The following is an 11,580-nucleotide window of genomic DNA, read 5'->3' on the forward strand; positions in this document are numbered from 1 at the left end:
CTGGAGGATTTGCTGTCAGATAGCTCTGTACCTTACACATGAGTTTCCTTGACTATTCCAAGTAATTTAGGAAGCTCTTTATTCATTGCTGTTCATTTTTCATTAAGACCAACTTTTGTCTTTCTTTATTTTAAATTGGATTTGCTTCAAATGAAAAAAATTATTTTGAGTGGGCATATAAAAGTACAACTATTTTGGAAAACTGTTATTTAAAAATATACCCTGTGACCCGTCAATTCCACTCCTAAGAATTTACCCAAGAATATTGAACATAAAGGTCTGCAAAGAGACTGCTATAAGAAAATTTATAGTTCTACTCATAATCGCCTCAAATTGGAAACAACCCAAATGTTTATCAATAGGGAAATAGATAAATTTGATATAATTGTACAATGGAATACTACCTAGCAATGAAAGGAACAAACTAATGAAACGTAACAACAGCATAAATTTTAAAATCATTATGATGAGTGAAAGAAGCTAGACATTAAATAGTGCAAGGTGAAACATTCCATTTTTATGGAGTTCGGGAACAGGCAAGTAATCCATAGTTATATTAAATAATTAGAAAAGTGGTGAATCTCTAGGAAGAGCTATCAACTGGTTGTGGACATGAAGGAATTTTTTTTAGGGTATTGGAAATGTTCCACATCTTGACCTAGGTGGTAGTTATATGGGTATATACTATATAGGCAAAAATTCCTTGAGTTGTACAATGAAGTTGCACACTCTATGTTGCACTTGCGTGTACACACACACACAGACACACACACATCTAACTAAAATGCGGTATTGTATGCTTTGCTTGGCGCCTAAGAGGGTCCTAGCTATAATGCTCTAGGTCTTGGAAAAGGGTCCCTCTATTAGTTGTCTGTTTTTGTATAACTACTCCAAAAATAAGGAGCTTGAGATAACATCTCACAGTTTGTGTGGGTCAGGAATTTGGGGGCAACTCAAAAGGATCTCTCATGAGTTTGCAGTCAAGATGTCAGCCGGGATTGCAGTCATCTGAAGGCTTGACTGGGGTTGGATGATTCTCTTCAAGATAGCTCATCTACATGGCTGTGATAGCTCACTCACATGAAGGCCTCCATTCCTTGCTGGCTGTTTGCAGGAGGCCTCAGTTACATGTCACATGGACCCCTCTGTAGGGCTGCTCGAGTGTTCTTACAACAGAACAGCTGGCTTCCCCCAGAGCAAGTTCTAATCCCAAAGGTCACCTTCACTTCCTCCATATTCTATTCTGTAGAAGCTGGTCACTGTGTAGAGTCTACATTCAAGGAGAGAAAAATTAGGCTCCACCTTCAAAAGGTCACTTGAAAAAAAAAGATCAGGCCATATCATAGCTCAAACCAATGCATCTAGTGTAACTATACTAAACATTAGTTTATAAGGTACTAGTCTTTCCCCTTTAGCATGTTAAATAAATTCCATGCCATTTTGTTTGATGTGGCCCTGAACTAATTGATCAGCAAAAGATGGTTCTAGTGTGACATCAGTTTTGAGCCAAGACTGAAAGTCATTTAAACAATCTAAGAAATGTTTTACCCCTCAAAGTCTATCAGCCTCACCAAAGGGGCTCTCCTGTACCTTAAAAGCCAAGAAAAATTTCCCACTAGTCAAGGCCTACCTAGGACATACCTGGTCCTCCATATCTGAAGGAGTGCTTTTTGCAACACAGTTCCTTGGTCTGGATGTGAGATGAACAGGTAACAGAGAGATAAGCACGCATCTATTGTGGTGAGCTGGCGGGGAAGGAGGCCATGTTTGTGTCCCACGCACTTCATTAGGCACTCACTTTACATTTATCTTTTCAGAAGCTGGCCTTCCTTGCTTTGCTTTGGAGGATCATTAAAAGAACCATTCTGGCTACTGTTATATACCTTAGAGCAATCCATCCAGAGTTGCTCGTGGGATACACAATTCTATCAGAAACCAACATGTGATATCCAGGTGTCTGCCCTAAGTAGCTTTTGATTTGGTGATGATAGTAGAAACACCTGCCTGTTTTTCTTGAATCTTAGTGTGCATGGCGTATGGTCTGGATCAGTCATCACACAGGTACATTGTACCTCTGGAGGTTGACTCTTTAAACCTTTAAGATGCCTCTAAGTATCCTCCAAAGCAAATTTCATGTACACAAGGTAGTGTATGTTTAGAATCAAAGTATCCTAAATGTACCACAAGCTTGAAAAACATTTATCTAGTTTTTTTGTATGATAGAAAGTGTTTTATTGAAATAGATTCAATTCTTACATATAAATTAGAGTTTTTTTTTTAAAGGGTAGGCTAACTTTTGTAACTAACAATCCCCAAATATCAGTGACTTGGCACAGTAAGAGTTATTATTGTTTATACAATGCCAGTGTAGGTGTTGGGACATTCTCTTAAACAGCCCTACTCCACATGGTGACTCAGGGATTTAAGCCCTTCCATCTTGGAACATGAACATCTTCAATACATGACTTACAGGGCGGAAAGGGAAGAGAGTATGGGGAAGGTAGGTCAGATCCTTGACTGTCTTTGCATGGAGTTGACACCCATCATTTCTGCTTACATTCTGATGGGCAGGACTTATCACATGGCCCTACTTAGATGCAAAAAGGGCTGGGAAATGTAGTCCACAGGCCCTTTCTTCATTCCTACCTTTTCTTCTACTCCCCAAGCCTGTGAAATATCCTCAGATCTTTGCCTTTGTCCCCTAGGTATGAGTCTCTCCACCTGTAACAGAGGATTGTCCCTGTCCTCTGGAACTTAGCTCTGGTGTGAAGACAAGATAGCTTGGGGAAAGAAATGCTAGGCTTTGAGTCAGAACACAGCACACAGGGAAGGAATTAATTGAGAATTCTTCCCAAACTGTAAGACCACTGCTCAGCCATGTTATCAGAAGAACCTACGGGAAAACTGTGTCAATGTCCTTATGAACTGTGGGATGGTTTGCTAATTCCCTGTAGGGAAATAAGAGCAGACTCGAATTTCTTGACTTTTGACTGGTTGTTTATTTGTGTATTTACTTTTACATGTATGTACTGTCATGGGATCCTTAGGGTGTTGCTTTGCCAGCTGGAAACCTCTGTGGCTAGCAGTGCCTCTGTTTCAGTTTTGCTCATGCCTGCTGGGCTCCTTCTGCTCACTTGGCCCATCAGGTTGCGCGTGGCTCCTGCTTTCAGCCCAGATCCCATACCTGCCAGGGTGTGTGAGTGAGCAAGTGCAGGGTCCAGCCACTGCACACAGCCAGGTGTGCCGGCTGTGGTGGGGCAGGCAGCTCCAGGCGCCCGCACAGGTGCCGGCTCTGTGCAAGGCTGCAGCTGGACCAGACGTACTGCAAGCAGCTTCTGCTGTGGGCACCAGCATGTGGACAAGGGGAAAGCAATAACACCAGAAAGGTCAGATACCAGGAACCACAAAGCCCCAAAGAGGGAGTTACAGCATGTCATAGCCATGACTTGGGGATCCCTGAGGTCTGGGCTCCCAGAAGGGCTGCAGCTCTTCTCTCCTTCTCGTCACTCACAATGTGGTGAGTGGGGGGCATGTTTCAGGCCTGTTTGTGTTACAGCTCTTTCAGTCCCACCATTCAGCTGGTCCTGAGTTCTTGTCCCATGTCCAGGAAGAATGAGGCACGTGGATAACTGGAGAGTGAGCAAGATAGTAAGGAGCTTCATTGAATGACAGAATAGCTCTGAGGAGACCCGAAGTGAGTAGCTCGTTTCCACAGGCAGGCCATGCTGATGAGTGTCCAGGTCTCAGTGGAGAGGAGACCCATAGTGGGCAGCTCCTTTCCACAGGCAGGTCATCCTGACCAGTATGCAAGTGTGGCTGAATCCAGGGATTTTATGGGCTCAGAAGGGAGGAACTGTGTGATGATTGGTCCATGGGTGGCCATGGGTGTGCCTGGAAAAAGCACCATAAAGTTTCGCTCTGGGTCATGGACACCACCTGGGACTGAAAGCCTGGCCCCCAGGCTTCAGGCTGTCCCTGGTTTGAAAGTGGGGCTTCACTGGGGACCCACCCCTTCCCTCCTAGGAACCTGTCTGACTCCTGCCACCATCAACATGACCTCCATGGCACCCAGGCTGTTCACACCAAGGGGCACCTGCAGGCTTGCGTTAAGCCTCCCTCAGCCCTCCTGGCCTCCCTTCCTGAGCTCGTTGGTGCTCAAAGTTTCAGAAGGTGCCAAGGCAGTGGAGGATGTCTGGCATGTCAGTGCTGCCCTGAGCGTGTACACACCTAGCCGGGCCATGACAGCACCCAGGCTCAGGCTCTGAAATTGGAGCGGGTGCCAGGAGTTGGGAGAGGCCAGGGAGTAGGAGCAGGCACTTCCAAGCCTGTGGGAGCTTGGGGCTAGCCATGCCCCTGAGAGTACAGGGATGCCCGGGTCTGGAGCTGTGTTGATGTGGCTGCTGCTGCACTGGGGAGTGAGGTGCTCTTGACCAGCCAACTCGGTAGGGGGCGGGACTCCCACCTATTACTGCCCTCCTCTGGCTCGGTGGAACGCATAGCCCCAGCTTCACCTTCCCCACTGCAGCTGGCATCCCCACAGCAGCTGCTCCAAATAGGCCACCGCCACCATCAGTACCCTGGGCTTTGGAAAGATAGTGGCTGCTACTTGTACAAACTTCTCAAAATAGACTCTTCACTCTAGTTATTGCTTATGAATTTGTGAGTAGACATTTGTGTGTGTGGCAAATTTGAGGAAAGACATTGGGTCATATGAATTCATCATAGTGGGACATAAGTCAGAACTGAGTTTCACAATTTCCCAGGGTTATGCAACAAGAGTCAGACTAGCTCAGAGTCTTTGAAATATTGTAGACAACTCAAATATTGTGTGCATTTTTCTCAGAAAAAGTTACAGTATTTAAATTTTTATTGTATTATAACTTCGTCTAAAGTCTGCTCTTAGACTGAAGAGCAGATAGCAGATTCAGTTCCCCTTTACATTTATCCATAAGGATGGTTTGTCTGTGCTGAACGGGGGAATGGGACATCAACCACTGCTTATAACCCTGCTTATAACTTTTTAATGTTATTGCTGGGAAATTTCATTCCTGCTTGCTCATGACTTAAAAAAAAATTCTATTTATACATTTAGAATTACCATGACAAAAATAGGCCCCCTCCCCTAAAAAAAACCCATAAGTATTCATAATAATATTTAAAGGAGATAAATTACCCAAGACTGACTCTGAAGAATAACCCAGGGAGGTGATGATTAAAATACTTCGGCCTTGTGAAAGGAGCATATCTTTGGACCAGATTAATATCCTTTTGGCATTTATGCAGAACAGGGAGTTGATCTCTGTAGATTCTAATTTACAACAATGTCAACATTTAAAATAGACTACTAATAAAGACACCAAGAACAAACATGCCTCTAACCTGAGGTACATCAAATAACCCTTCTTTGGTGTTTTGACATTAAATGCGAATAAATAGAAAAAGGGAACCAATATTATGAACACATTTAAACTATGTTTAATAATAATTGTATGAGCAGCTCACATCATTAGCTTTTTTTTTTACTTTGTGCTGTTAGTGAGGTATAACTGACACATGTATTTAAAATATACAGTTTGATGAGTTTACACACACACATGCATCCATGAAACTTTTGCAGGACTTTTCCTTAGTTCAGTTAAAGACGGGGTTCTTTGTCCTATGGCCTTGAAAATTCAGGCTTGCAGACCATTGAGTAAGATGGGGTTTTATTGGGTAAAAAGAGAGAAAGGGGGGAAACAGACTCTCGCTAGACCAGAGTCCCTGCTAGAGCACTTCCCACCCACCGTTCGAATCCCAGGTTCCATACAGGAAGAGGAGGGACAGGGCTCCTCCCCGCTGCAAAGGGCATGAACTTCCCGAGGCTCCACCTCAGTGGGTAGGCTGGTTGGAGTTTCTCCAGGGACCCCCACCCACCTGGCTGTCTCAAAACCATCACCACAGTCAAGATAATAAACATATCCAACAGTCCCAAAAGTTTCCTCATGGCCCTTTGTAATCCCTCCCTATATACCCCTTCTCATCCACCTAGGCAATTGTTGATCATCTTTCTGTCACTATGGACTAGCTGGCATTGTTTGGGATTTAAAAATTTATTTTTGTAGAGAAAGGGTTTTACTTTGTCATCCAAGCTGGAGTGCAGTGGTGCCATCACAACTCACTGCAGTGTTGACTTCCTGGGCTCAAGTGACCCTCTCACCTCAGCTTCTTGAGTAGCTGGGACCACAGGCATGCACCATCATGCCTGGCTAATTTTTAAAGAGACAGGGTCTCGCTATGTTGTTGAGGCTAGTCTCAAACTCCTGGCCTCTAGTGATCCTCCCATCTTGGCCTCCCAAAGTGTTGGGAATATAGGCATGAGCCACTGTGCCCATCCTTGAATTTCATACAGATTTATTTTTTTGGTTTAGTTTCTTTTTCTCAGCATGGTTATACTGAGGGTCATTCATGTTACTGTATGCATCATTAGTTCAGACGTTTTCATTGCTGAGCAGGATTCACACATGATTAGCTTTTTTTTTTTTTTTGAGACAGAGCCTCACTCTCTCACCCAGGCTGAAGTGTAGTCACCCGATCTCAGCTCACCACAACCTCTGCTTGCCAGGCTCAAGCAATTCTCCTGCCTCAGCCTCCCGAATAGCTGGGATTACAGGTGTGTGCCACTACCGCCCAGCTAATTTTTGCCTTTTTAGTAGAGATAGGGTTTCACCATGTTGGCCAGGCTGGTCTCGAACTCCTGACCTGAAATGATGCATCTGCCTCGGCCTCCCAAAGTGTTGGGATTACAGGCGTGAGCCTCCATGCACCACCCCCCCCGCCACATGATTAACTTTTGATAGCTTGAAACTTTTAGAATTTGCCCAACTCCAGGCAATCAAAAATAATGAACCAGTCTACCTCTAGTGCTGACCATCAACCTGGACATAGTGCACCGTTAACATGTTAACATGAGACTTAAATGCAAATTGTTTTCCTTATCGTTCTTTGCCTCTAGGATGCAAAATATTAACTAGAACTGCAGGAATAATGGATAAAATGGTAAAAATCACCTTTGCCTTCCAAACTAGCCAAAGGGAAATGAAGACACGAGCTAGTCTCAAATATTATATCAATTCTTACAAAATCCTATTTAATTCAATTTTTGTGTTGCGAATTGAAAAGATTCTTGAGAAAAATATTGTTCAACATTTAAAGGATAATTTGGGGCCAGGTGTGGTGGCTCACTCCTGTAATCCCAGCACTTTGGGAGGCCGAGGCTGGTGGATCACGGGTCAGGAGATTGAGACCATCCTGGCTAACACGGTGAAACCCTGTCTCCACTAAAAATACAAAAAATTAGCCAGGCATGGTGGCGGGTGCCTGTAGTCCCAGCTGCTGGGGAGGCTGAGGCAGGAGAATGGTGTGAACCCGGGAGGCGGAGCTTGCAGTGAGCCAAGATCGTGCCACTGCACTCCAACCTGGGCGACAGAGCGAGACTCCCTCTCAAAAAACAAACAAAAAAACTAAAATTTGGGGCTGGAAACTTCACAAATGTAATGAAAGGAAGATTGGGCCCTTGTACACAAGTAAACAAATTTAGGAAATTTCTTAGGGAATTAGCACTCATATAGACTGGGGGATTTGGTGAGTATAATTTATTTAGATGTTACCTTTTAAGAACAGCATTTTTACATTATAGAAGCAATAATGTTCAAACAGAAACTTAAATATGAACATAGCAGCACTATTTACAATAGATATAAATGGAAACAGTCCATATGTTCACCAGCTGATAAATGGATAAACAAAATTTGTATATCCATACAATGTACTATTATTCAGTCATAAAAAGGAATGAAGTATTGGCCAGATGCTACAACATGAGAGAACCTTGAAAACATTATGCTAAGTGAAAAGCTGGACACAACAGGTCACATGTTGTGTTATTTCATTTATACAAAATACCCAGAACAGGCAAATCCATAGAGACAGAAACCAAATTAGTGGTTGCCAGGGACTGGATAGGATAATGGGAGTGACTGATGGATACAGGGTTCCCTTTTGTTGCAATGAAAATGTTCTGGAACTAGATGGTTGCGATGATGGCACATTGTGAATGTACTAAATGCCATGAAATTTTACACTTTAAAATGCTGAAAATGGTAAATTTTGTTACGTGTACTTTACCACAATGAAAAGCAATATATACCATGTAAAAATTTAGAAGGTATAGACAAGCTCAAAGGAAAATAAAAATAAATGTGCCTATCTATCAATCGTCTATCGTATATCTAGTTATGTCTCAGTAAAGACAGAATGTTGCTGTATGTATAATCTGTAGCCTAGTTTTTCTCTTAATATCGTAAATTCACATCATCTAATATTCTTTACAGTATTTTTAATGACTACAATATTCCATCGAATTAAGGAAAAATAATTTCTTAGGCCAGTCTCCTATTATTGAGCATTTAGTTTATATATATTATGAATAATATTGAAATATTCTTGTAGGTAAGTATTTGCCCACATTTGTGATTATTTTCTCAGAACAAATTCTGGGATGTTGAATTGCCCAGGTAAAGAATGTAAACATTTAAAAAATTGATAGACTTTTAAAAAACATTTCTAGAGTTACAGAAGAATTGAATAGAAGGTTTCTGTATACCATCCCCACCTTCGGTTGCCCCTATTATTAACACCATACATTACTATGGTACATTTGTTACCATATGTAACAGATTAACAAATTGATATTGATTCATAATTTTTAACTAAAGTTCACACTTATTCAAATTACCTTATGTATTAGGGTTCTCTAGAGGAACAGAATTAATGGAATATATATTATATACTATAATATGTATAATATATATAAATATATAAATTATATATAATATATATTATATATATTATATAAATTATATATAATATGTAATATAAATTTTGTAATATAAATTATATATATAAATTATATATAATATATATTAATATATATAATATAAATTAATATATATAATATATAATTATATATAATTTATATGATATATATAAATATATATTATATATAAATTATATATATCATAAATTATATATCATATAAATTATATATAATATACATTATGTACATAATATATGATATATAATATATAATATATATTATATATAATTATATATATATAATTATATAATATATATAAATTATAATATATAATATATATAAATTATAATATATAATATATATAAATTATAATATATAATATATATAAATTATAATATATATAAATATATATTAAATAACTTGGAGTCCAATGTTTGAGGGCAGGAAGCATCCAGCGTGGGAGAAAGATGTAGGCTGGGCGGCTAGGTCAGTTTCTCTTTTCCCATTTTTCTGCCTGCTTATATTCTAGCTGGGCTGGCAGCTGATTAGGTGGTGCCCACTCAGATTAAGGGTGGGTCTACCTTTCCCAGCTCAGGGACTCAAATGTTAATCTCCTTGGCAACATCCTCACAGACACACCCAGGATTAATAATTTGTACACTTCAATCCAGTCAAGTTGACACTCAGTATTAACCATCACACCTTAGTTTTTATCTAATGTCCATTTTTTGTAGTTGTTCAAGGATCCCATCGAGGATACCACATTATATATATATGAAGTAATGGATACATTAATTAACGTGTATATACTTTAGCTAATTATAATATATATAATTAATAACTATATATTATACATATATGCATATATATAATACAATATACACATATACATATCTATCTATATATTTTTTTGAGACAGGGTCTTGCTCTGTCGCCCAGGCTGGAGTGCAGTGGCGCCATCTCAGCTCACCACAGCCTCCACCTCCTGGGCTCAGATAATCCTCCTGCCTCAGCCTTTTAAATAGCTGGGACTACAGGTGTGCACCACCATGCCTGGTTAATTTTTGTACTTTTTGTAGAGACAGGGTTTTGCCATGTTTCCCAGGCTGGTCTCAAACTCCTGGGCTTAAGCCATCCTCCTGCCTCAGCCTCCCAAAGTACTGGGACTATAGGCATGCACCACCATGCCCGGGCCCATGTTATATTTAGCTGTCATGTCTCAGCCTCCCCTTGGCTGTGACAGTTTGTAGACTTTCTTTGTTTTTGGTTCCTTGACAGTTTTGAGGAATACTGGTTTAGGTATTTTATAGAATGTTCCTCAGTTAGAATTTGTCTGATATTCTCATGACTAGATTGGGATTCTGGGTTTAGGGGAAGATCACAGAGGTAGTATGCCATTTTCATCACATCATATCAAGGGTACATACTATCAATGTGATCTGTGACTGTTGATGTTGACCTTGATCCCTGGCTGTGCAGCATTTGTCCCGGTGCTCCCCTGTGAACTTCCTCCTCCCCGTCTCCACACTATACTCTTTGGAAGTAAGTAGCTACTTCTGATATGTGTATAATTGTGAAATGGTTAAATCAAGCTAATTAACATATTCATTACTTCACATATTTCTTGTGATGAGAACATTTAAGATCTACGCTCTTAGCAATTTTGAACTATACAGTACATTATTATTAACTATAGTCAGCAGGTTGTACAATAGATTTACTGAACTTATTTATCCTAAGTGAAACTTTGTACCCTTTGACCAATGTCTCCCCATTGTTCCCCTGGCAACCACCATTCTACTCCCTGCTTCTATGAGTTTGACTTTTTTTTTTTTTGAGATGGAGTTTCACTCTAGTCTGTCACGCAGGCTGGAGTGCAACAATGTGATCTTGGCTCACTGCAACCTCCACCTCCCAGGTTCAAGTGATTCTCCTGCCTCAGCCTCCCGAGTAGCTGGGATTACAGGCATGCACCACTGTGATCAGCTAATTTTTGTATTTTTAGTAGAGACAAGGTTTCACCATGTTGGCCAGGCTGGTCTCGAACTCCTGACCTTAGGTGATCCACCTGCCTCAGCCTCCCAGAGTGCTCGGATTACAGGAGTGAGCCACCGCACCTGGTCTATGAGTTTGACACATTTTAGATTCCACATATAAGTGAGATCACACAGTATGTGTCTTTCTGTTCCTGGCTTGTTTTACTTAGGTTGATGTCTTCCAGGTTCATCCATGTTGTCGTAAATTACAGGATTTCCTTTTTTTTTTAAAGGTGAAAATAATATTTCAGTGTGCATATTTACCACATTTTCTTTTTCTATTCATCTATTGTTGGACAGTTAGGTTGATTCTGTATCTTGGCTATTGTGAAGAATTCTGCAATGAATAGGCATACTGATTTTTTTCTTTCTTTTTTTTCTTTTAGCAATGGACTCAGGCTGGTCTCCAACTCCTGACCTTAGGTGATCCGCGTCGGCCTCCCAAAGTTCTTGGATTACAGGCGTGAGCCACCGCACCCAGCCAGGCAGACTGATTTCAATTCTTTTGGTTATACACCCAGTAGAGAGATGGCGGGATCACATGGTAGTCCTCTTTTTAATTTTTTTGAGAAAACTTCATACTGTTTTCTATAATGGCTGTACTAATTTACATTTCCATTAGCAGTGTGCCAGGGTTCCCTTTTCCCCACATCCTCACCAACACTTGTTTTCTTTTGTCTTAATAAAAGC

General features: G+C 40.7%; 2 annotated features.

The window, feature by feature from the left end:
* Positions 3,906–4,406: an enhancer, noted in NCBI's record as "H3K4me1 hESC enhancer chr2:29303580-29304080 (GRCh37/hg19 assembly coordinates)". NCBI's record gives its function as "activates a minimal SCP1, AML or CMV promoter by ChIP-STARR-seq in primed H9 embryonic stem cells {active_cell/tissue: H9 hESC(primed)}" and the evidence as "EXISTENCE:reporter gene assay evidence [ECO:0000049][PMID:30033119]".
* Positions 6,177–6,416: an enhancer, noted in NCBI's record as "active region_15531". NCBI's record gives its function as "activates an Ori minimal core promoter by ATAC-STARR-seq in GM12878 lymphoblastoid cells {active_cell/tissue: GM12878}" and the evidence as "EXISTENCE:reporter gene assay evidence [ECO:0000049][PMID:35858748]".

The sequence above is a fragment of the Homo sapiens genome, chromosome 2 (assembly GCF_000001405.40).
Source record: "Homo sapiens chromosome 2, GRCh38.p14 Primary Assembly".
NCBI lineage: Eukaryota > Metazoa > Chordata > Mammalia > Primates > Hominidae > Homo > Homo sapiens.